At 34.5% G+C, this 27934-nt stretch overlaps 1 pseudogene across 1 annotated transcript in view; it reads left to right on the top strand.

Moving 5' to 3' along the window:
* Positions 1 to 19769: 19769 nt before the first annotated feature.
* The window catches only part of GUSBP14 (GUSB pseudogene 14), a 162716-nt pseudogene continuing 154551 nt past the window's right edge, over positions 19770 to 27934 (top strand). Inside the window, exon 1 of the transcript NR_029426.1 lies at positions 19770 to 19871. The product of NR_029426.1 is annotated as a GUSB pseudogene 14, transcript variant 1 (transcript). The remainder of the gene's footprint in view (positions 19872 to 27934) is intronic.

Genomic DNA, 27934 nt, shown 5'->3' with positions numbered 1-27934 from the left:
GAAAATTGACCAAAAGGTATCCTTGTCTTCATTTCCACTGACATCTTATGACTGCCATATTTTTTCAGCTATGGCTCTTTTTCTACCAATGGCATGTCACAAAAATGTGTGAACCTCTGGTCACTCTAATTAGTCATACCAATATTGCATAATTTTACCTCAGAATGTTTTTTCCAACTACATTCTTTCTCCAGGGGCATTTATATTCAATGTTTTTTCCAGGGGCATTTACATTCTGAATACCGTGCCTCAAAGTCAAACTGGTTAGCATTACAATCTTGTCTGGTATTATATATGCATTTATTAATGTACAAATTGACCTCAGAAATAGAATATATTTGTCAGGAGTTTTAGGTCTTGTGTTCCCAACACCTAACAATAGATACTTGTTGAATAAATTATGAAAGGGAAAAATAATTTTTAAGAAATTTTGAAAACTTAAAAAGGAAACAAAGGTGCCACAATGGAAACAAAATTTCACTTTTTTTTCTCTGAGTTTAGAGTAAATCTCAGATTCAAACACATCTGAGGATGTACAATTATCAATTATGTAATTCCAAGGGAAAGTAATTTGTACTTACAGGTTAGATATGATAATCAATTCACTTAATTCTACTCGTTTCCTTTAAAAAAAAAAAAAAGAGGCTGTCAGAAATAATACATCACAGTAAAACCTCCTATCAAACAAGAAAAGATTGTATTTGGGAAAACATTTTCATAGACCTAAATTGAGTAATGTTTCCAACTTACATTTCACCAGTTAAGCTTCCCATTAGAAAATGTGTTTGTATGACACCAGTTCCACTTGCATTTTTTTCCCATAGGTTTCCCAGCAGACGTTTACAATCCTTTAGTGATGTTATAGCCAGAATTGTATTAGGTAATAATATAAAATCCCTAAATTTTATGTACAAACCTTCACTGATATTTTTAGTTATCATGAAAGAATCCTTGTATTTATTTCTATTCTAATTCTCCTCATGTCATTGGTATTTTATATGTATTCATTGTAAACATGTGTTGAATGTTCTAAATTTATACAAGCAAAACAATGTACATATTCTAGAGCTTAATATTTTCCCTCTCCCTGTTTTTTTTTCCGTGGCTTTCTCTTGCTTTCACTATTGCAAACTCTGACCCTGAGAGGCAAGAGTCGTGACCATTTAGTAAGATGTATCGTTGAGTATCATAAAATAGTTGGATAGTCTGCTATTTTTTATAGTAGCAAAAATAGAATGTTCATATGCTTGCCCACGATTTTTATACATTTTTAAATTTGTCTACCACATGCCTAAATTTACCAAATTAAGTCCGTGTATATAAAACATTTGCACAAATGTTACTCAAGTTGTCTGAAATAAAAATACATGTATTTTGCAATTTAGAGCACATGACACTAAAGATGTATAGCTCCGTTAACTCACCTTTTGAACAAATTTCAGCAAGAAATTTCAGAATGAATATAAAAAATTTAAGAAATATTCTAATATATAGTAGCTGAAAAGTTTACAGAAGTAAAGAAGAAAGACACAAATTAGTAGATTCTGAAGAATTATCTATACGAACCCATAACTATTCTCTTTATTTTGGATATTCTATTGTTTCCTTATAATTTGTTTATAAGTTTCCTTATAAATAAACAAATTATAAGGAAACAGTGGAATATCCAAAACAGAATATGCAAGCCAATTAACAATCACCATTTTTACCAACAAAAATATTGAAAGTCAGAAAATTGTGGAATATCTTTGAAGTGCTAATAAATGATAATGGCAAATCTAGAATTTTATGTCAATTAGATTTAGAATTCAAGAGCAGATCAAAATAGAGACATCTTCAGACAATCCAAAAACTGAGAGTTTACTACCAAGAATAGTAACTTTTACAGTATGTACCATAGAATAAAGGATAATTAACTGGATGTAAATTCCAAAATATTAGAAGAAGAAAGGATGTGAAAAAACATATATAAGCAGTCACAATTTTATTTAACAAACACACCAACAATATGTGATTTGTGGGAATAAGAAAAACAACATGAATATAAAATAATGAACAATTTGTAGCAAATATTTTTAAATAATTGCAATTAAAGAGCCCTAAGACTTTGTATTGTTTGGGCTTGGTGTTAGTAAACTTTATATTTTATGTTAATAATGTTTATTAGAATATCAAAATTGCCTAGCAAAAGAAAACTGATAATGTGAATAATTTCCAAAATAAAAGAGATAAGTTACAAAAAATGTTAAAGTAAACAAATGCAAAACAAGGCAAAAAAAAAAAAAGTCAAAGTGAGAAAGACCAGCAAAGTGAATAAAAGGAAGAAAATATGACTTTAAATATAAAAAAATAAATAAATGAAAACCTAAAAAATAACATGCAAGTTGCCAAAAGAAAACGATTTACTTGACTGAATAAAGGTCGTTAAAGGATTTCTTCAGCTGGTGAGCACCAGGCAAACCTGAAGACTAGGTGGTTCCAGACTGAAGTAGGATCAGGCGTCTAACAGAAGTCTGTGGAGTATGCCTGGTTTAGGCTGGACAGATATTTTCTGCTTTAACTGAAGTTGAGTTTAGGTTTTTGGGTTCTTTTCTGTTTGTTTTTGTTTTATCTGTTTATGTTCCACTTTCAGAGTCTCATTATCCATCAGAACAATATTATATGAGAACAGTCTTTGCAGTTGATGGGCTAACCACGTTCCCTGGGTGGGGCAGGGGAAGTAGACAAGAATAAGAATGAAGTGGATGTAAAGGAAGAAGGCAAGGGGCGGGGGATTATTACCCTCTAGTATGTTTGTTTTAATCGCTTTACACGGTTACTAGTTTTCAAATTTACTAAATATTTTATATGATTCAAATCATTAACTGAGAAATTTCTTTCAAATTCAGTGCTCTTTGCAAAGTACTGGCTAGATGTTGGAATCCAAAAATGAACTGTGAAAAAAGGCCCGTGTCCTCAGGAACTTATGTTCAGAAGAAATGGAAAAACAAAATTAAATAAGTGGATAAATACATGTGTGTTGTTTTACTAAGACCTTATTTATTAAATATTTTGCTAAGCCTATAATATTAAATCAGCTATTTATATATCTCTATATAACAATGGTTCTAGAGTCAGGAGGTTAACCTTGTGGATTCCTCAGTGACCTTGAGTAATCACTCAACCAAAATACATTTGTATTTAAATACGAACATAAGTTCGAACATTACGTTGTTACCCTAGCCACTTCACAAAATACGTTCGAACACTAGGTTGTTACCCTAGACACTTCACAAAATATTTGAAAAACACATGGATAGACAATTTGATGATTCTATAAATCTGGTAAATGAATTAGAAATATTATAAAAGGTTTTTCTGAGAGGATACCATCGAGCAAAAAGAAAATGACTAGCATTTGACACTATGTAACTTTAAATCTATATTTCAGGGACCTCTGTCACTTTCTTGGGGAATTGAATCACCTATTCCTACTTAGCAGCATGAAAATGAGTTGAATCTCCAGGTTATAGCATTTGAAGGCATGCCTGAGAGGAGCAGATTCAAAAATCAACAGGTGGTTGATGTTTTCTGTGGGGAGCATTCCTGCCTCAGTCCTGCTGCTGTGACCCATTCCTAAACAGCTTTGGGGTCTACAGTCCCCCTTGGTACCTGCTGGGGATTTGTTCCAGGACCACCACCAATCCTACCACCATCATCCCTTCATAGCAAAAGCCAGAGATGCTCAAGTTTCTTATATAAAATGGCCTAGTATTTGCATATAACTTACACACACCCTCTTGTATACTTTCTATCATTTCCAGATTACTTACATTAATAATACTGAATACAATATAAATGCTATGCACATAATTGTTATAAGGATTGTTTTTTATTTGCATTGTTTTATTGTTGTATTTCTTTTTAAAAATTATTTTTGGTATTTCTTTTAACAAATATGTTTGATTCATGGTTAGTTAAATCCACCCACAATGGGGGTATGGAGGGTCAGCTGTATTCAGGAATTTGCATTAACAGACTTAAGAGCCTAGTAGATTCTTTGCTTAAATGAACTCTGTGCAGACACAGCATTCAACATTTCTATTTTGATACTTTAAGCAGACTGCAGTGTTTGACAAGCTATTTCAGTAATATGCAATAATCTTTACAAAATAGACATAGATGTTCTGTGACCCCAAATTCTCTGAAACTCTAAACTCAATTATTGAATCTATAGTGGTGTTTCTGATCAGATTACAAGATGAAGGAAGCAATGGAACTTGGCCTAATGTAATGAAAAATATTGCTATCTCTCCACTGATTATTTTGGATGATGGGAGAGCTGTATAGCCATTTAACTAAAGAGGAATCCTTTCAGGAACTACTCTGAAGTACTTTAAGAGATGGAGTTGCTGAAGAAAAAAGATTGAAAACAATTGGCTTAGCTGTTCAGAGCATGGCAAGAATGTAACTATAATCTGTCATTGTGTGGGCAGACAGATGGCCTGAAAATTGAATAAATTGGAAATCACTGGAAGGCAGCTATTTTGTCCTTGAGTGCATTAGGTATCTTGGAAAAATGTTATTAAATGGTGAACAATTGCTATCGAAAAGTTTCTAGTTGTTTGGAACATAGAGTTACATAAAGTCAAGATTCTATTATTATTCTAATAATAGATAAAATCCGAATGTAAAGAAAATGTTTCCTATGAACTATGTAATTTAATTCTTATCAGAGCAATACTTTAAACAATTATTTGATTAGCCTGTGTTTGTGAATGTATATAAAGTAAGCAATAACCTTATTTTCTCCTCTTTGTAATTTAATTCATTAGAAATTGAGAATCTCAGACTTCTCTCCAGCCCTATTAAATCTGCATCTTCATTTCCAGGTCACTCATACACTGTTTAACTTTGAGAAGCACTGTTGTATATTGTCTTGAGAGTCCACACTATGAAATAAATTGGCCCTTATTTACTCCTCAATTGAAATTCTTCAGACTTTCTTAAAGTTTCTAATTCTAAATAAGTCCCAGTTAGTGGAAATGAACTGAATTTAGTTTAATTTTTTTTATCATGCATTGCTGTCCAAAAGAAGAAAGCTTATTTCTGCCAACTTCTTCTTATCCTCAACTTCCAACCACTGTCACGTCTGTCTTCTTTCTTTTTAATATTTTCAGGTGAATTAGAGGTTTGTCAACCGCAAGAATGAAATATATGGTTTATGGCCTATTTTTATGTAACTGGTCATTCTGAGATCTGGAAAACACTACCTGTGTTTATCTGCAACTAAAATCTAGACACCTGAGCCTACACTGCATAGCGAAACAGGTCACTAGAAAAACACAAGCAATTTAGAAAGGCTTTTAATATTGAACAGTTGCATTTTGTTTCTATTCATGTCTATCGCTTTCTCTTTTTTATTCTAAATTGCTTTATTATATTCTATATTTAATATTCTATCATTAACATGTCAATAACAGTCAATAATAATTGAGGACTCAGGTTTTGTCAATACACTGATTTATAATTAGTACAATATGTTATGAGTTTCCTTCGCACATTAATATTATCAGCTCTTCATTTTTTGTTGTTCACAATATATCTTCAACTACCTTTTTATTTTTAGGCAATGTACATATTACAATTTAAGAATAACATCTTCTTTGTTAAATATTTATTTCCACCCCTTTTCAGAAAATTAGATGGTTTACATTTATTGTTAGAAATAATATAAAGCTTTTCTGGTTTTGTGCTTCTAAATAATATTATTAATATATTCTTTTGTAATTACAAAAGCTCCTTGTTTTTGTTTTGTAATTCCTTTCTCAATAAAATAGAGCTGCAAATATTTTGTTCCTTTAAATATTTCAAATAAATAATTTTCATTTATAATAAAAAATATAAAATATGCCAAAGAATTTATTATTTCAAAAAATATGTCATTCACCAATTTGCTTTTAGATTTGTGAATACAGTCTCATTTTATTTTAATACTTTAATCATAGATCTTAACTTTTTTATAATTAATTTTAATTTGTATTTAACATGGTAATAATATTTTTACTTAATTTTATATTGTTGGGTTAGTAGTCACTGTTAGTACACATAACTATTTTACTTTTTCAACATGTAATTTTCATTAATCTTATTCAGATAAAGTTCATTTTCACTATTTTTCTTCAATTGGAAATATTTCATATTTTAAAGACTTCCATTCCTAACAAATGTGGAATACAACATTTTTAGCTCAAAATATTTTTCAAAACAAAACAGAATTTTTCCAGTCTTCACATATAAAACTAAAGCAACAAGCTCAAGTCTATCCAGACATTTTATACTTCAGAAACGAAAATACTAATCTTACGTGTTTATGGCGGATGTTTTTCTTATAATTTTAGTTAAAAAATATTTGTAGAAGGTTTTTATAGTAATATAGTCAGAAAATTAGTCTGCATTTTTACCTACAAATTAAGCAGTATTTTAAAAATTAGCTCAGGAAATTTTATTTTATATTGTATTTTAGTCTGCATTTGAATGATATTTAAATTCTTAGATTTTCACTTTAGATGTGGGAACTCCGGTGCTTAATTCTATCCTCTTTAATTTTATATCTGTGATTTCTTCTGCTTTGTTTTCAGTTCTATTTTTTTCCTGCACTGCAAAAGAGTTTCTAAAGATTGTATTTAATATTACAAGCTTCATTTAGTGCTCTATCATTTGGCATTTACATTTTTACATAGTTTTAAAATTATATATATTTCTTTGTATTTTTTATCTAATTTTATACAATTTTAAAAATCATGCACCTCTAATATCTATTGACTAGGTTTAGCTTTCATTTCAGAGATAACATTAATAGTGAAAAATATTATCTTAAATGCAAAGATATTCATTATTTAAAAATTGATCAATGACATTCACTAAATTATCACAGGGACGAAAACATAAAATGATCATCTGTAGAGATGCAGAAAAATAATTTGACAAAATTCAGCACTGATTTATAAGAATTATCAGCAAAATAAGAACAGAAATGAAAATTGACCAACAACCAGAAATGACAGCAACAACAAAATACCAAGTCAGTAAAGATGGAGAGAAATAGGGAAGCAGTGAAGGTAGATGTCATTTCTGTTTTTAGTGGTGGAGTACAAGGTGTTCTTGTGCTTAAAGGTCATGTTCTTGTGATAAAACGCACTGCAGAGACAACACAGTTTAATTGGCTGAGGCAGGTGACTCCCTTTAAGCATCAGGGTGGAACAAACTACACGACAAAATGTAATTTTAAAGACCACTCTCATTCAAATGTAATAATATCAAAGCACCCTTAACTCATTAATGAGTGAAACAATGAGTGTCATGGTCTGAACTGTGTTCCCCTCCCCAAACCCGTATGTTCAAGCCCTAACCCCTAGTTATACACATAAGGTAAATGAAACCTCATTTGGACACAAAGTTTTTGCAGATGTAATCAAGCTAAAATTATGTCTGTAGGTGGGACTTAAAATAACATGGGTTGTCTTTATAAGAAGAGGGAACAGAAACAGATAGGATGTGGAGAGGACCATGTGAAGAGAGAAGCTGAGACTGAAAAGGATTTATGTATTAATATTGACAGAAGCCAAGGAACACCATCTGAAGTTCTGATGGCAACATCAGAAGCTAAGAGAAAGGCATGGAAAAGATTCTCACCTAGAGCATCCAGAGGAGAGGTTGGTCCTGCAGACACCTTGTTTTCTGACCTCTGACCTCCGCAACTGTGAGGGAAGAAATTTCTGTTGCTTAAAGACACACAGCTTGTGGTACTTCATTATAGCAGCCCAAGGTAACTAATATAGATGACAAAATTGGTTCCAAGGGTGTTTGAGGAACTGGACCTTTATAGGCATTATTTTCATAATACTGCATTAAGCTATGATAACTGGACTAGATTCAAAATTGGATAATGCCCTAAATGCAATAAAGCTATAATTTTGAGATAAAATTTTAATAGCTTTATGAGATATAATTAACATCTGGTATACTGCACATTTTTGAGGTGTGAAATTTTTAAACATTAACATACGTATATACTTGTAAAACCATCACACTAGAAAGAGATCTCAAGCCTCTTCTTTTGACTTTCAACACATTGTCAATCCAGTACTAATCTGGTTTTATTACCATATATTAGCTTTTATTTTCTACAATTATATATCAGTAGAATTATAGAGTATGAATTCTTTTTGTCTTTTTTCCTTAAGCATAATATTTTTGAGATTCAACAATTTCTTGCATGTTGAAGTAGCACCTTTTTTTATTGTTACGTATTATTTCATTTCATAGACATACCACTATAATTTATTTACTAAACTCTTGACCAGAGGTTCTCAAATGAGGGACATTTTACCTGCCGGGGACATTTCCAATGTTTGGGGACACTTTTGGTTATCAGAGGTTTGTGGAGGAGGGGATAGAGTGTCCACAGGCCAGGGTTCCACAAAGGATAGCTCCCCACAACAAAGAATTAAGCCACTTCAACAGCTAATAGTGCTGAACTTGAGAACGCCGCTCTTGGTGGACAGTTGCATGGTGTCTGTTTTTGACAATAATGAATAAAGGTACTTGTGCAAGCCTTTTTACAGACTTATGCTTTTCTCCCCGCTAGGATAAATGCCTAGGGGTAGAATTGGTACATGTAAGGTAGATTTAGTTATCCAAAGTAGCTGTACTGTGTTACACTCCCACCGTCGATGTATGCAAACTCTAGAGTCTGGTTTCTTGACATCTATGCCAAATATTGGTAACACAATTTTTAAAATAGTAGCTTTTCTAGTAGATGTGTATAATTATCTCATTTTATTTTTTATTACTAACGATATTAAGAAATTTTTCATTTGCTTATTTGCTATTATATCATTTTTGTGTAGCATCTGTTAGTTTTTATAGCTCTCTTGTTTCTATGTTGTACATTATATTTATATATTCTTGCTCTTATTCATAATAAATAGTATATATAATTGTGTAATTAAAAATAAACATTAAAGTATAAATATATTTACACATTTCTGTAGTTTATCATTATATAATTATTGCTTTCTGAATAAAAAGAAATGTATCCACAGTTTGGATAAAAAGAAGTGCTTTCATGTAGTTTACTAAGACATTTTCTGTGCTTTATATTTGAAGCCTATGCTTTCACTTTTACACATTGTTCCATAATATATTTTGGACTCCTTTAATTTTGAACTCATTCACGCTTTTGTTGTGAGGAAGGACTTGAGGTTTGTTTTCTTCACATTTATCTCGTAGTTCTGCACACTTTGTTAAATAAAATTATCTTTCCCCTTTGAATAACTGCAGTATCTTTGATATTATATTATTCATATAAGCATGGATCTATTTGTGAACTCTATTCCATTCCATTACTCTAATTGTTTATCCATCTACTAATAACACATTCTCTCGATGACTATAGCTTTAAGTTATTGCATGGTGTTAGGAAGTGTGAGTATTCCAACTTTTTTTTCAGCTTTCTATCATTTGTTTTTGCTCTCTTGATGTACATTTTTAAATCAGTGTGTCAATTTATATAAAAATATCTTTTGTGATTATGGTGAGGATTTCTAGAATGATTAATTTGGAAAAACCAAAACCTTTTACACACTAAAATTCACTGAACTTTCAAGCCATGATTATTGTATTAGTTTGTTCCGGCATTGCTATAGAGAAATACAGAAGATTCGACAATTTATGAAGAAAAGAGGTTTAATTGCCCCACTGTTCTGCAGGCTATACAGGAAGGATGATGCTGGCATCTACTTAGCTTCTGGGAAGACTCAGGAAACGCACAATCATGGCAGAAAGCAAAGGGGGACAGGCACGTCACATGGCCAGAACAGCAAGAGAGTGAAAGGGGAAGCTGCTACACACTTTTAAATGACCAGATCTCATGAGAACTCACTCACTCACTATTATGAGAACAGTATCAAGAGGGATGATGCTGAACCACTCATGAGAAATCCACCCCATGATCCAATCACCTCCCATCAGGCCTCACCTCTAACATTGGAGATTACATCATACCAGATTTGGGCAGGGACACACATCAAAACCATCAATTATTGTATGCGACTCCATTTATTTAGAACTTTCCTACATCTCCCAACACTTTTGCTAGTTTCCTATTTAGAGAGATCTTGCATGTAATTTGTTAAAATCATATATACATATTTTATTTTTATTAGTATTTTACATGGATTTGATTTTTATCATTAATTGCTCATTGGAAATATATAGAAATAAGTTAATGGGTTGACTTATTTTTTCTATGATGTGGCTAAAATTACTAGTTTATTCCAGCAGCTGATTTTTACAGTCACTAGAAGTTTATGTGTAGGTAATGGAGTTGTTTAAAAATTTAGAATTGTATTTTTCATTTCTTAACTGTGTATGTTTTACTTATTTATTTGATTTGTCTCACTGGTTAATTCCTCCCATACAGTAGAGAGAACAATAGTGAAAGAGGACACTTTGTCTTCTTCTGGATCTTAAATGAATAATTTATTAGTTCAAACTTCAGTGTGATATTTCCGTAGATGCCTTCTATTTGCTTAAGGATGCTTCTTTGTATTCTATTGGGGCGAGATATTTTTATTATAATTCTATCTTGAAAATGCCAAATGTTTTTTCTGCCTCAGAGGAAGTTTATATATTTTTTTCATTTTACTCAGTTAATGTGGTGAGTTTGAAAATTCAAATACTTGAAAAATCACGTTCCCATCAAACACTGCTTCTTACTGTGCCTTTCTAAGAGGACTACCTTCAACTTGGGCATTTAGAGGATACTTCCCTTCCTATAGCTCAGGGTTTTTTTGTATTTTTTTTATGTTTAAATTTTAGTGATATTTCTTTTATGTGTTTTTAAAATATTTTATGGGCTACTGCATTGACCCATTTGTTTCAACTTTACAGCTCTAGTTAAATATAAAAATTAATAAAATGTCAACACTCAAGTATTACATATATCCCTTGATCTGGTGATTTAGGACTATGAGAAAAATGCTCAATTTCCCTCGATAGAAGGAAGTATGAACTTTTTTATTTATTTATTACTGTAGTCTCACAGCCTAAAAATCAGTAGGTCTCCACTGGTCAGCAAGCAAATGATCATGATTGTTTTTCTGAATTTTTGACAATTTCAGAATAGGCAAGAAAGCTAAGTTTTAAAAATAAAATGCCAACATCAAGAATTTAAAATCAAATTCGTCACAGTGAATCCCAACAGGAAATAGTTCTTCATTTTATGATTACTCAGAGATTTTGCTTGTTGTAGTGGTCTTCCTTCTGGCTCATAATTTTTTGCTACTCTGCAGCAGAAATAATAAGAAATATTTTCCCAGTCCACAGCGGTGAAGGAGAAGAAAACTATAAATCAAAAGTAGCATATTCTGTGGATCATTTATTGAAATAAACACAGTGAGTACAAGATGGGTAATCTATTTGCATAATCAAAGACACCCTTCATCTGTGTCTATTTTTCTCTTTTCTTTTCTTTTCTTTTTTTTTTTTTTTTTTTGAGACAGAGTCTCACTCTGTTACCCAGGTTGGAGTGCAGTGGCATGATCTTGTCTCACTGCAGACTCCGCCTCTCGGGTTCCAGCAATCTTCCTGCCACAGCTTCCTGAGTAGCTGGCATTACAAGGTATGGGCCACCATGCCCGGCTAATTTTTGTATTTTTATTAGAGATGGGGTTTCGCTATGTTGGCCAGACTGGTCTTGAACTCCTGGCCTCAAGTGATCTGCCCGCCTCAGCCTACCAAAGTGCTGGGTTACAGGCATGAGCGACTTGCCTGGCTATGTCTATTTTTAACATAGTTATAGTGAACTATAATTATTTTTACATAAAAACTATTCTTACAAATGTTATATGTATTTTAAGAGCATACAAACTTACAGGTTTTTTTATTTAATAAAAACCAGTGGCAGATTGATAATGCAGAATATATTATTTGTAAAAAATCATTTGTTGTCATACAAACATATATTTTATTTGAAAATTATACTTTTGAATAGCTTTTTGGAAAGTTAAAGTATTCTCATTTATTGCATACATTTGTCACCAAAATTATACGAAAGAGTGTTTGATTCAAAATGTGTGTGTGTGTGTGTGTGTTCCTATATAGGACCCAGATAACACATATATATTAAATAAATAAATACATGTATATATATATATCATGCACACACATTTAAATATAATGTAAATGTGTGTGTGTGTGTGTGTGTGTGTGTGTATGTGTATGTGTATGCAGATGCCCCTCTGGAAACAAATTTAAAAAGAATCCCCTCTTTTGAGTGTATAAAGAAGTTCCTTTCTTAAGGAATGGATAACAGGGGTTGGTACTTTGGCTGAATTCCTCTTCCTCTTACTTTCATTAGACTTGGCACTGTTGCATAGAACACAATTTTCCAAAATGTAATGTCTGTGTTATGCCTACAAATGTACCATACATAACAATTTGTCATTTTCTGTAATTACATACTGACCTATTTAACATTTATCTAACCACTTATATATCTTAATCAAAATAAATCAACCCATGTAAATTGTTTATTTCTATTGTCTTTCTCAGTATAATGCACAAGATACCTTTCTATCTCTATATGTATTTGTCATTTTCATGTCTGTCCCTACATGAGTTGACTCTATTTTTCTGTTACATAGATATGTGATGTTAGTACAATATATGTTAACTAAAAATGGATGATGCAACCTTTTAAAATTATGACCATCGCAGTGAAAATTATGTCTCTAAAATATCAGGGGCTTAGGTATTTTCAGATTAAATTAGGAAAAATAGAGTATCTTTCCATTTATTTATGTGGGCAAATTTCCCATTTGTTCACATTAAATCTTTTAATGGCATATTGCCTAAATCTTTCTCAGAAAAGCTTAGCCAAATTGCCTAGGATGTTTCCTTTCTCCCATATTACCATCACTGTATACCATCATATTTCTAATAATTTTAATTTTGGAACATGAAAATGGTATTTCAATTTAAATGCGTATGTTTTTCTATTTGCAAAGAGATTAAACATCTCTTCAAGTTTTTAAACTATATGCAGCCCTTCTTTTCTGCTATACCTGTTCATTTCCTCAAGCTATTTTTCCATCAGACAGTTTCATGTTTTCTCATTGATTTGAAGCTTCTATTAAAGTATTGTATACACATGGGTAAATGCACATAAGTTTAAAGCTTAGTGAGTTTTAAAATACTATGATCATCCAGAATAAGAAAATGTAATAGTCACACACCTGATTTCCACCCATCCCTCCTAACATAACACTATTCTAACTTTTACCAGTAAGGAATCAAATAGTGTGTGTAGTGTTTTGAACCACATTTTTTTGCTTAATATTATATTTGTGAGACGAATTGACTATATGACCTGCAAATGAAACTATTTATATTTATTTCTCTAATATTTTATTAGGTGATCATATTACAACTTATTTGTTTACTGTACTCTTTATAAGTATTTTAGTCCACTTTTGGGCCACAGTTTGGGGTTATTTTGGTGTTATTCTGAAAAGTGTTTTCATGAGTACACATTTTTTTTAGCTATATATATGCATGCATTTCTGGAGAAACCATCTTTACAAGTAGAATTTTGGGGCCTAATACATATCTTTATCCAAATTATTTGAACTAAGTTATGCCAATAACATCAATTTGAGTGTTCTAATTAGTCAACATTCTCATCAATACTTTGCACTTTCTCTTCAACTTAGAATTCTAAAATATTCCTTTCAAATTCAGGATTCTGAATGACAAGTACTTACATCTCATTGTGGTTTGAATTATTTTTTCAGGTAACCAATATAAATAAAAACCTTTTAATAAGTTCATTGGTTATTTGAATATTTTATTTTTGAAGTGTCTAAAATATTTTCTTTCTAATCCAGTCCAGTTATTTTTCTGTGGTTTGCTTCTTGTTGTCTTATTGAGTTCATTGCCTTTTTAATATTCTTTTCCGGTTAACATTTCCCCCTCATTGATCTGAAATGTTTTCATTATATACCACCTTTCCATATCTGTCAATGTCTTGATTTTCTATATGATCTTCATCTATCTGTAGTTATAACTCATTTTAATCATAGAAGCTTTAAGAATTGCTTAATATTTTGTATTGACTCCAAATTCCATTGATTTTATAGGATATTTCTAGCTATTCTTGCTTCTTTATTCCTCCAAGTAAATTTGTCTATTTTTCTAAATCTGGAAAAAGAAATTCTAGAAAATGTCGTTTTGTTATGACACAGAAGATATAAGTTTATTTAAAGAACTGGCACATTTATGATTTTAAGGCTTTTTCAAGAGCATGGAATTTCTTTCCCCGTGCTCAAGTCCAAATTTGTGCCATTCAGAAGTGTTTTCTAGTTTTTTTTATATATAGGTTTTAAACATTTCTGGTTAAGTTTATGCCCTCACATTTTATTTTAGTTTGGTTAATGACGTTTTACATGTGTGAGTTCCCTCAATTATTTCTTTTAAATGTTCTGATTCAATAGGAACACTCTCCTTAGTATCCTTAACAGAAATGATTCTTGTTTATAGAATTGCTAAATAAGTAAAGAAATTTTAAGTTAAATCATGGCAAGGAGTTATAATTATACTAAGCTTTTTTGTTCCTAGAGGTTTTGGCTCACTCATATGGTAATCTATATGAAAATTTTTCTGTGATATCTAATATTAGAAAGATCCTCAGTGATAGAATAGTGTTTCTTCCTAGCTGATTCATACATCTTTCTCTGCCAACATTTTGTTTGTTGAAGTGTTCCCCAACATATGACTCATTGCTTACTAAATCCCTATTGAGCAGCCAAAGCCCTGGTGACTAATTATGTCATTAATTTGGGAAAGTCAGAGACAATAAGACTGTCAGTTGAAACTTTGTAGGAGGTAAAAAAGTCACTGCTGTCAGCTGCAAAGATCCTTAAAACGGTCTTCAGTAAAGTCAAATTTTGTGACAAGAATTATTGCATCAAAGTCGGGGAAATACCTCTTAGATCAAATAAGATACATTGAAAAGCCAAAAATTATTTTTATCTCACTTTGGGTTCTCATAAGGTCTACCCACTGTTACTTGGATATGAGACTTAACAAATGGAAAAGAAGACAGGGGTACTGTCACACTGTATTTTCCTATGGCCTAATGACCACAATGGTTGATGAACTGCAGTAAAGTTTCTATAATATTTTCCATCTATTCATTTGCTCAATCACCTTGTAATGGTTATGTTGGTTAATTCCAGTCTTTCATGGGTAAGCAACAAAATGAGACTTAATTTGAAATATCCAGTATTTTTCTATTCTTACAAATAATTTTCAGGATCAATGCACTGAGGATTAGGAATGGCAATGTGTATTACTACTCTGATACCAACTATATCCAATCTAATGTTGGAATTTGTTTGACAAAGTGTTGTGTATTTGAAAACAGGCAGCACTGAATAAAAAGAATATGGGCAAAAGAAAAATGGAAGTGTTTTGAATAGAAGTCTAAAATATTTATTGATCAATGCTGAACTGAGTAAGCAGGAGATGCCTGTACATAAATGACATTATCCTGATCTAGTAACAGGGAGAAGCAGAATATCTGAAAGCTGTTTATTAATTTGATAATAATAAGATTAGAAACATGCAAATCAAGATTAATAGTATTCACTTCTAATTGGGTTTAGGTAGACTTTGACTATTTTGCTTCTGATGTTCTTATATTTTTAATTTTCTATAATGATCATATAACATATAATATTTTCATAATATTAAACATTTTAGAATTAAACTCCATTAGAGTGTGTCTTTCCTAAAGTAATATAAACATCCAATCTTGTCCTTAACAATTCTGTTCTCAAACATTAGCCTATTCCCTCAAGCCAGTGTTGCTTTCGACCCATATTGTCCATCATTTCAATTTATCTCAAAGTTTTTTATTGCAACAATTAAATGCTTTGAATGATACCCAAGGCATAGTTCTATTTCAACAAAATTTCAAAGTTAATAGTTACATCAAATTTTGTTGGTGCTCATTGAATTTGGTTATTAAAACCATAAGTAGTATGTTTTATGCTGACTGAGGGAGATAAAAGTAGTAATGTTTAATATTCAAACTGTGATGACTGAAAAAAAAAATGAGGCCTGTAAAATCTTATTTAATGTCAAATTTTAATTAAACAGGCTTAGCAGACCAAAATTAAAATCTCAATTATTTTTAAATTATTAATGACAGACAACTAGATTGAGTGAACACTGGCATCTCTTTTCAAATAACTTAGTTTAGTGGATGAGTTAAACATAAACTAGTTATTATAATGCAGCGAAGTATGTGAAAAATTTAATTTGAACCCTACTTAGCTTAAAATCCTGACATTCTAGGATGCAAGTCCTGCAAACTTTCCATATGTAATCAACAATTTTCTAAACATGCATGCTGTATCTCTCCTGTGTGACTTTGCATACATCATTCCCACATTCTAGATCATCCCGACCCACCTTAAGTGACTGCTTTTGCATAATCTCCCTTAAAATTCTAACTCAAGCACTGCATCTTTTGAGTCCTTCCCTAACATCTTAACATCTTCCTTCTTTCATTCATCATTAACTATAGTTAGTTATTATAGCACCTGTTAGCACTGTAAAATTATGTGTGTTACACAAGTACAACATGCAGACTAAGGTCGTGTATTACCTAGCCTCATACCAGCGTCACCTAGAACAGCAAAAATGTATGCAGATTAATCACAATATATTTGGATGTACAAAACATATTGAGAGCAAAATATGATGGAAATTTAGGTGATGCTCTTTGAGCATTGCTTCCATTTTCCAATAATGTAACCAGGAATCACTGTTCATGTAATTAAAGAACAATAAGTCTATGTGAATCAAAATATACATATACATGCAAATGTTAAACCTCAGTAGGAAGAGGCCCATTCTCTTGCTTGCTGATATATATATATATATATACACACACACACACACACACACACACACACACATATGTATGTTGTGTGTATATGTATATACACACAACAATCTATAGGCTTGCCTTTTAAAATAGTATAAGCAACAAATTTTAAGAGAAACAATAATGAGTGTGTAAAACATTAGATATGTGTATGTACCTTTGCTATTATTTGTGGAAATGGGGCTATAAAATAAGCTCCTTTATTTTCTTTTGTAAAACATTTCTTTAATATGAAGTAATGCAATACGTATTTATGTTCTAAGTGTTAATTTCCTTGGATATAAAATAATATCTTGTTCCTTTGATTCTCTTACATATAAGTGTATTTACTCAGATATTACTCCAAATACACCAGATATATTCAAAGTTGAAAAAATATATACTTTGGAATGTATTATCATCTTATGTCACATGAAGAAATCAAAATCTCTGGCATCCAAGTGCATTCCAGCCTGAAAAAAATTATGCAATTGTGAATTTAACAGAAAGCAAATTGCTCACATATGGAGTCAACGTGAAGCTATATCAATATTTATTAAAAGTTTATATATTACTTTTGATCCCCTGGAGAGAAATACAAAATTCAAATAATTATTCTATTTTTATATCCCAATTTGTAATTATGAAACTCTAGCATTTTAATTTTTCTCTTTCAAGTTTACCTGAAGCTTCACAAAATTCTGTGAGGAATCTATTATAACAGGTATTTTGCTTATTTCCACACAAACAGAAGGAAATGTGTATTTTCTATGCCCTGAAGAATTTACTCTTTTCTGTAAATGACATATGGTAGTTAATTCTTTTTGGTAATAAAATATTCCTGTTTTTAGGCCGAACAGCCTTTTCATTTAAATTCAGGGCAACATATCAAAGCTTTGCCGTAATAATACAGAGTAATCGACTAAAGTAATATAGAATTTAAATAACAAAGAGTTTAAACAATTTAATATGTCTTCTATTAATTTCAAACTGAAATTTTACAGAAATTATTTGGAATATGCTGCCAGAGTACACACACACACACACACACACACACACATCACACGCTCACATCACACACTCACACCCAGCTAAAGGAAATTACCACAGCTATAATGATTTCATTAAATATCTGAAATTAAAGTTTCTTTTGGATTTTCAGCTGAAGCTCATAGTAAATAAAAGTAATATGATCATTGTTGCATACTGTGAATCAACAGCACCCAGAAACCTTCGACTTTCTATATTTACACAGCTTAATTATCCGAACTGAAACCTGAGGCCATCTGTGTCAACATGATTTCACAATTCATTCCAGAAAATTATTTTTCAGGAAAGTAAGGCTGCAAACCAATAAATAACTTATTGTTTGCTTCAGGAAATTTCTGCAAATCAATTTATGTCAGTAAGCAACTCTCCTCTGGGCCAACAGATTGCTCACCTGGGCAGGTAGCAGCTTGTGTCAATTAACAGTTTACTTATGAAGACTTCTGTCATGGCCCTTAACTCACAGTGTCCCCCAATCCTAAACTCTATGTCCTGAACATTACCTATTCTTATCAGTCATTGGTCTTGAAAGGCCCCGGGCAACCATCTGAGCCCAGACTTCAATACTCTATCAATACCACCTTATCATCTACTTTTCTAACATGACCCCTCAAGGTGGTGACCCCACTTACAGTCGTCTTTTATTGAATTTAGCTTTCCCTAATCAACATGCTAGTCTATTGGATGCAGTGTCAGAGGCAAAAATCACAGAGGTTCTGAAAGCATCAGCCCATGGTTTTCTAAACATCATGGTTCAAGACCCTTAACACGAAACAGAAAGTTTCCCCGAGGCGCCGTAAACAACCCATTTGGGCGCTTCCCTGATAATTATAGTGAAATCTGGCATCTAATTTTTTTTGGTGGACTCTCAAATTTTATATTTATGTTTTGATTCCTAGAAATAAAAAATGTTTTTATAAGGAATTCTTTGATCGTTTATGTTTTATTCTTGATAGAAACCTACTACTTTATAACTTCGTTTATGTTTTACTCTTGATAGAAACCTACTACTTTATAACTTCGAACATTATTGATGTTCTTCCTGTATTTCTGAGAGGTGACAGCTTGCTGGCATCCCTCGCTGGCTCTCGGCGCCTCCTCGGCCTCAGCCCACTCTGGCCGCGCTTGAGGAGCCCTTCAGCCCGCAGCTGCACCGTGGGAGCCCCTCTCTGTGCTGGCTGAGGCCTGAGCGGGCTCCCTCTGCTGGCGGGGAGGTGTGGAGGGAGAGGCGCGGGCCGGAACCTGGGCTGCCTGCGGTGCTCGCAGGTCCAGCGCGACTTCCGGGTGGGCGCGGGCTCAGCGCGACTTCCGGGTGGGCGCGGGCTCGGCGCGCCCCGCACTGTTGAGCGGTCGGCTGGCGCCGCCGGCCCTGGGCAGTGAGAGGCTTAGCACCCGGGCCAGCAGCTGCGGAGGGTGCACTGGGTCCTCCAACAGTGATGGCCCGCCGGCGCCGCGCTCGAATTTTCGCTGGGCCTCAGCCACCTCCCCGCGGGGCAAGGGGGCAGGGCTCGGGACCTGCAGCCTGCCATGCTGGAGCCCTCACCCTCCTCCCCGCCCCCGTCCCCTGCCCCCCGCCCCCCGCCCCCCGCCCCCCAACCGCAGGCTCCCGCGCGCCACCCCGAGGGGACGGGCGCCACCTCCTGCTACGCGGCACCCGGTCCCGTCAACCGCCCAACGGCTGAGGAGTGCGGCAGCGCGCCAGAGACTGGCGGGCAGCTCCGCCCGCGGCCGGGATGCACTAGGCAAAGCCAGCTGGGCTCCTGAGTTCGGTGGGTACTTGGAGAACTTACTACGTCTAGCTGGAGGATTGTAAATGCACCAATCAGCATGCTGTGTCTAGCTCAAGGTATGTGAACGCACTAATCAGTGCTCTGTGTCTAGCTAATCTGGTGGGGACTTGGAGAACTTTTGTGTCTAGCTAAAGGATTGTAAACAGACCAAGCAGCTCTCTGTAAAATGAACCCATCAGCTCTCTATGAAATGGACCGATCATCAGGATGTGGGTGGGGTGAGATAAGGGAATAAAAGCAGCTGCCAGAGCCAGCAACAGCAACGTGCTAGGGTCCCTTTCCACAGTGTGGAGGCTTTGTTCTTTTGCTCTTTGCAGTCTTGCTGCTGCTCACTGTTTGGCTCTGCGCAGAGCTGTAACACTCACCGAGAAGGTCTGCAGCTTCACCCAAAGATATTCCAAAGATACAGAAAACTATATAGAGACATTTTGTATAGTTCTAATAGCATATAATCCACAGGTCCCTGATCTATAATATGGGTTTTTTATAAAATTGTTTTTTTGTATGCTATGAGGAATTTTACTTGTTAAAAAGAAGAGGTGGAAAGGCAGAATATGAAAACTATGAAAATGACATAAGAGACTATGAATTAGGTGAGAAACCAGAGAGGTTTAGAAACCTGTAGACATTGTGCATCCCCCAATGCCTTTCCCCTTAAAAAAAATTATATTCTAATCCAGTCCATCAAATAAAGTCTACGTTCATTAGAAACATATTCTCTTGGTTTTTATAATTTCAGTTTTTTTCAGACACAGATAGTGCATATGCAGATTTGTTACTTTTGTACAGTGCACCCTGGTAGTGAGCATAGTACCCAGTAGGTAGTTATTCAGCCCATGCTCCCCTCTTTCCCCCACCCCCGTAGCCTGCAGCATGTCTTGTTCCCATGTTAATGTTCCTGTGTGCTCAGTGTTTAGGTTCCACTTATAAGTGAGAATGTGTGGTATCTGGTTTTCTTTTCCAGCACTAATTTGCTTAGGATTATGTCCTTAGCTCCATCCATGTTGCTGCAAAGGACATAATTTCATTCTTTTTTATGGAGGCATAGTATTCCATAGTGTATATGTACCACATTTTCTTTATCCAATCCACCTTTGATGGGCACCTAGGTTCATTCCATGTCTGTGCTATTGTGAATAACATGCTGATGAACGTACGAGTGCATGTATATTTTTCTGGTAGAATAATTTATTTTCCTTTGAATATATACCCAGTAATGGGAATGCTGGGTCGAAGGGTATCTCTGTTTTAAGTTCTTAGAGAAATCTCCAAAATACTTTCCACAGTACCTGAACCAGTTTACATTTCCATCAACAGTAGTGTATAAGCATTCCCTTTACTCTGCAGCCTGGCCAACATCTAATTTTTTTACTTTTTAATTATAGCTGTTGTGACTGATGTGAGATGGCATCTTACTGTGGTTTTTGCTTGCATTTATTTATTTGATGATTAGTAAGGATGAGTGTTTTTTCATATACTTGAGTGTCTTCTTTTGAGAAAATATCTGTTCATGTCCTTTGCCTTTTCTTGATTTAAATTTTAAGTTCTGGGGTACATGTGCAGGAAGCGCAGTTTTGTTACATAGATAAACGTGTGTGGTGGTGGTTTGCTGCACCTATCAACCCATCACCTAGGTATTAAGCCCAGCATGCATTAGCTATTTTTCCTGATGCTCTCCCTCTCCTCAACCCCCTACAGAAAATTATAGTGTGTGTTGTGTGTTGTTCCCCATTGTGTGTTGTTCCCCTCCCTGTGTCCATGTGTTCCCATTGTTCAGCTCCCACTTATAAGTGAGAAGATGCGGAGTTTGATTTTCTGCTCCTGTATTAGCTTTGCCCTTTTTAACTGGGGTTGTTTTATGCTTGTCATTTTTTCTTCCTTATGGATTTGTTATATTAGATCTTTATCAGATGCATAGTTTGCAAATATTTTCTCCCATTCTGTAAGTTGTCTGTTTACTCTGTGGATAGTTTCTATTGCTGTGCAGAAGCTTTTTAGTTTGATTGACTTTCACTTGTCAGTTTCGTTTTTGTTGCAATTGTTTTTAGAAACTTAGCCAAAAATTATTTGCCAAGGCCAATGTCGAGAAAAATATTTCCTAGGTTTTGTTTTAGAGTTTTCATAATCTGAAGTCTTACATTTTAACCTTTAATCCATCTTGAATTAATTTGTGTGTATGGTGGAAGGTAAGCATCCAGTTTCACTCTTCTGCTTATGGCTAGCGAATTATCCCAGCACCATTTATTGAATAGGGTGCCTTTTCCCCATTGTTTGTTTTTGTTGGCCTTGTCCACGATCCAGATGGTGGTAAGTGTGCAGCTTTATTTTTGAGTGTTCTATTCTGTTCCATTGGCTTAAGTGTCTGCTTTTGTAACAGTATCATGGTTAGTGTACACTTATAGTATAGCTGGAAATTGGGTAGTATGACGCCTCTCTGGCTTTATTATTTTTGCTCAGAATTGCTTTGGCCATTCTGGCTTTTGGGGGTGTTCCATATAAATTTAGAATAGTTTTTTCTAATTCTGTGAAGAATGATGTTGGTAGTTTCATGGAGATAGCCTTGAATCTACAAGTTGCTTTGGGCAGTGTGGCCATTTTAACATATTGATTCTTTTAATCTGTAAACATGGAATGTTATTCCATTTATTTGTGTTATCAAAATCTCCTTCCTTCCTTCCTTCCTTCCTTCCTTCCTTCCTTCCTTCCTTCCCTCCCTCCCTCCCTCCCTCCCTCCCTCCCTTCCTCCCTTCCTTCCCTCCCTCCCTCCCTTCCTCCCTTCCTTCCATCCTTCCTTCCTTTTCTTATTTCCTTCCTTTTTTGAGACAGAGTCTCACCCTTTCACCCAGGCTGGAATGCAGTGGAGTTATTATAGCTCACTGCAGGCTTGAACTCCTGGCCTCAAGCCGTCAGGGTAGTTAGGACTACAGGCATGTGCCACCATGCCTCGCTATTTAAAAAAAAAAAAAAAATTTGTATAGATGAGGTTCCACTATGTTGCCTAGGTTGGTCTCAAAACTCCTGGGTCCAAGCGATATACCTGCCTCGGCCTCCCAAAGGCATGAACCACTGCATCCAGCTTCAGATTTCAGCTGTGTTTTGTAATTCTCCTTGTGGAGATCGTTCACATCTTAGGTTAGTTGTATTTGCAGGGATTTTATTTTCATCCTAGGTGTTGTAAATATGATTGTGTTCTTAATTTAACTCTCAACCTGGATGTTGTTGTTGTATAGAAATGCTACTAATTGTTGTACATTGATTTTGTATCCTGAAACCTTGCTAAAATCCTTTATCATTTCTAGTAGACTTTTGTTGAAGTCTTTAAGGTTTTTTAGGTATAGAAGGATATTGTTGGGTGAAGACAGATAGTTTGCCTTAATCTTCACTTCCTATTTGGGTGCTTTTCTCTTTTTCTGTTGCAAGATTGCTCTGACTAGGATTTCTGGTACTATGTTGAATAGGAGTGGTAAGAGTGGATGTCCTTGGCTTGTTTCATTTCTAAAGGAGAATGCTTTCAGCTTTTGCCCATTGAGTATTATATTGGCTGTGGGTTTGTTGTAGATAGCTCTTTTTTATTTTGAAGTATGCTTATTTGAAGCCTCAACTGTTGAGGGTTTTTTTTTGTTTTGTTTTTTCATGAAGGGACACTGGATTTAATTGAAAGCTTTTCCGGCATCCGTTGAGATGATCATATGGTTTTTGATTTAATTCTGTTTATCTGGTGAATCACATTTATTGATTTGCATATGTTGAACCAGCCATGCATCCCAGGAATAAAGCCTGTATTGTCATAGTAGATTAATTTTTTGATATGCTGCTGATGGATTCAGTTTGCTAGTACTTTGTTGAGAATTTTTGAGTCTATGTTCGTCAACAGTGGTCACCTGAATGTTCTTTTTTTTTGCGTCTCTGCCAGGTTTTGGTATTAAGCTGCTTCTGGCTTCACAGCGTGAGTTAGGAAGGAGTACGTTCTCTTCAACTTTTCTGGAATAGTTTCAGTAGAATTGTACTAGTTCTTCGTTATACTTCCGGTAGAATTTTGCTGTGAATCCATATAGTCCAGGGCTTTTTGGCTTGGTAGATTTTTTATTACTTATTCAATTTCAGAGCTTCATATTGGTCTCTTCAGTATTTCAGTATCTTCCTGATTCAATCTTGGAAGATTGCCTGTTTTCAGAAATTTATCCATTTCCTCTAGATTTTCTAATTTTTGTGTCTAGAGTTATTCCTAGTATTCTCTGAGGATTATTTTGTATGTCTGTGGGACCATTTTTAATGTCGTTTTTGTCATTCTGATTTATATATTTAGATCTTCTCTTTTTTTTCTTTGTTTATCTAGCTAAAGGTCTATCAATCTCTTTTTTTAAATCAACTCTTGGTTTCATTAATCTTTTGTATGGATTTTTGCATCTCAATTTCATTCAGATCTTCTCTATTTTAGTTGTTTCTTTTCATTCCTAGCGTTGATGTAGGGTTGTTCTTTTTTTTTTCTTCCCTAGTTCCTTTAGGTGTAGTGTTAGATTGTTAATTTGAAGTATTTCTAACTTTATGATAAAGGCATTTAAACGTTCCTCTTAACACTGATTTAGCTGCATCCCAGAGATTTTGGTAATTTGTGTTCCCATTTTCATTAATTTCACTTTCTTAAAATTTCTCCCTTAATTTTGATTTTCACACAGAAGTTATTCAGGAGAAAGTTGTTTAATTTTCATCTATTTGTGTAGTGTTGAGAGATGTTGGTATTTATTTATATTTTGATTACATTGAGATCTAAGAGTGTGCTTGATATGATTTCATTTTTTAAAATTTATCCAGACTTGCTTTATGACCAAGCATGTGGTCAATGTTAGAATATGTTCCCTGTGCAGATGAGAAGAATGTATATTCTGTGGTTATTGAGTGGAGTGTTCTGTAGATGTCTTATTAGGTCCAGATGGTCAAGGGTGAAGTTTAAGTACACAGTTTCTTCCTTAGTTATCTGCTTTGATGATCCAGTGCTGCCAGCGGGGGTGTTGAAGTCTCCTACAGTTATTGGGTGGTCGTCTGTCTTTTTGTAGTCCAAAAAGAACTTGTTTTATGAATCTGGGTGCTCCATGTTGGGTGCATTTATATTTAGGGTACTTAAGTATTCTTGTTTGATCATATACTTTCTCATGACATAATGCTCTTCATTCTTCAATTGTTCTTTTTAATTTTGATTAAAGTCTGTTTTATCTGATATAAGAATAGTTACTCCTGCTTTTTTGTTATCATTTGCATGGCAGATTTTCTCCATCCCCTTATTTTGGGCCAGTGGCTGTCATTACATATGAGGTGAGTCTCTTGAAGACTGCAGATGGTGAGCCTTGCATTTTTATCCAGTTTGCCATTGTATGTCATTTAAGTGGGGGTGTTTAGCCTATTTACATTTATGGTTAATGTTGATACATGAGATTTTGATCCTATCATCACGTTTGTAGCTGGTTTTTAGGTAGACTTGATTGTGTAGATACTTTATAGTGCCTGTGAGCTATGTACTTAAGTGGGTTTTTGTGGTAGCAGGTGTCATTCTTTTTACTCAATGTATAGCACTCCCTTAAGGACCTTTCATAAGGCTGGTCAAGTTGAAATTGATTCCCTCAGTATTTGCTTATCTGAGGAGAAATTTGTTTCTTCTTCACTTAGGAAGTTTAGTTTAGTGAAATATAAAATTATTGCCTGGAATTTATTTTCATTAATGATGTTGGACATAGGCCCTTAATCTCTTCTGGCTTGTAAGGTTTTTGCTGAGATATTTACTACTAGCCTAGTGGAGTTCTTGCTTTATGAAAACATGACCTTTCTCTCTAGCTGCCTTTAAGATTTTTTTTTTCTTTTGTATTTACTTTGGTGAATATGATGACTGTGTGCCTTAGGGATAGTCACCTTTTATAGTGCCTAGCTGGGTTTGCTGTATTTTTTGGATTTACATGTCACTCTCTCTAGCGAGGTTAGGAAAATTTTCATAGACTCTATTCTCAAATCTATTTTCCAAGTTGCCTTTTCTCTTTGTTTCTCTTCTAGGAATGACAATGAGTCGTAGATTTGGTCTCTTTATATAATTCCATATTTCTTAAAGCTTTGGTTCATTTTCTTTTTTTAATTCTTTTTTAAAATTTTCTTTTGACTCAGTTGATTCAACGAACCAGTCTTTGAGCTCTGAGATTCTTTCCTTAGCTTGGCCTACCTTCTGTTAATATTTCTTACTGTATTATAAAATTCTTATACTGAATTTTTTCTGCTCTAGAAATTCAGTGTGGCTGTTGTTTAAAATGGCAATTTCATCTTTCAGCACTTACTTAGATTGCTTTACTGGATTACTTGGCTAGGGTTTCAACTTTCTCCTTAATGTTCATGAGCTTCCCTGCCATCGAGGTTCTGTATTCTATGTCTGTTGCAATTATTTTAGACTGATTAAGAACCATTGCTTGGTAGCTAGTGGGCTAATTTTGAGGTAAGAGGACACTCTAGCTTTTTGAATTGCCAGAGTTCTTGCACTGATTTTTTCTCTTCTGGTAGGGTTAGTGTTCCTTTAACTGTAGTGTATGTTGAGTATAGGCAATTGGTTTTGTTTCTGGATGCTTTCAAAGGGTCAGGGCTTTCTCTGTCCAGGATTTTTATGTATGAGTAATTCTTGTGTTTGGTTTCACAGGTGTATATGTAGCAGGATAAATTTTGATGTTGTAGTTTGGGATGTGATCCAATGCATAGTGCTTAAGAGTGATGGCCAGTGGCTAGCCTAATACCCAGTGGCATGGCTGTTTTATACTTCCTTTTGTTTGCAGGTGTGCTCTATAGTGGGGGTGGGAGAGATGCCTCCATCACCAGATGTGCTCCTGGGCCCTGGGGGAGTCTCCTGCAATCACTGTGTTTCTTGTGTTAGGTGTTCTAGGCCACAGGTCTCTCTCAGGCAGAGGCCCTTTCCTAGGAGCCATTCTGGGGAACTAGCTGTAGTGTTTGGGTTCCCTGCACAGGCTTCCTCCCTCTTCAGCTCAGCTTCATTGCTGCCTCTGCATCCACTCAGCATTTTCTCTCTCAAGATCTGCCTAAATTACGGTGGTTTACTCCATAATTTGGTATCTCTCAGTGGGGGTGGTGCTTCCTGACCATGTCAAATTGACCATGTATTGTCACAGAATGAAAACCTCTTTGATAGACTTTGTAACATTTTTGAATATTACATTCAGGAGTAAAATCTTACGCAGTGTGATCCCAGCTATCTCTTCACTTTTGAGAATAACCTTAAGTAATTAAAGGATAATTAAATATGTAATTAAAAATGGAAAAATATAACAGCTACACTTCCAGATGTCAACTTCTTTCAGAAAATTTTAAAATCTCTTTAAAGAAAGGTAAATTGAGACCAAAATAGATTAATAGCTTTATAAAAATAAGTGCTCAAGGAGGGTGTTACATGTGAAAATTAAACTTGGAATTTGTCATTTTACCCGTAAAATTACTGAGAGTAATTTCCTTGAAATGGAAATAACTTTACAAATTTTTAATTAACAAAAATGCTGAAATATTACTCCGCTTACCTTTATGTAACCTCTTCCTTGAAAACAACAATTTACTCATCTGGTGTGTGACTCTGATAACCTTCAATCATTCTCTATATCTGACACCATGACTAGTAACTTAGATCTTTAACTAAGCAACCTTTCTTTCCACCTTTGTGATATTATATCTAGTAATTTAATAACAGACAATCTATGTTGCAAATTAAACTTCCAAATTGAATAGTAATTTTCAAATCCCAAGGACCCATTTCTTCTGCCTCAATCTTAATTAGGTCTTAGTTAATAGAAAAATTAACTGGCTGGGTGCGGTGGCTCATGCCTGTAATCCCAGCACTTTGGGAGGCCAAGGTGGGCGGATCACCTGAGGTCTGAAGTTCGAGACCATCCTGGCCAACATGGTGAAACCCCATGTGTACTAAGAACACAAAAAATTGACCGGGTATGGTGGTGGGTGGGTGCCTGTAATCCCAGCTACTCAGGAGGCTAAGGCAGGAGAATCACTTGAACTGGCGGGGTGGAGGATGCAGTGAACCGAGATCCCAGCACTGCGCTGCAGCCTGGGCAGCAACAGTGAAACTCCTCAG

This window comes from Homo sapiens, chromosome 5, assembly GCF_000001405.40.
Source record: "Homo sapiens chromosome 5, GRCh38.p14 Primary Assembly".
In the NCBI taxonomy this organism is placed as follows: Eukaryota; Metazoa; Chordata; class Mammalia; order Primates; family Hominidae; genus Homo; species Homo sapiens.
This window is presented reverse-complemented; position numbering and strand designations above follow the sequence as displayed.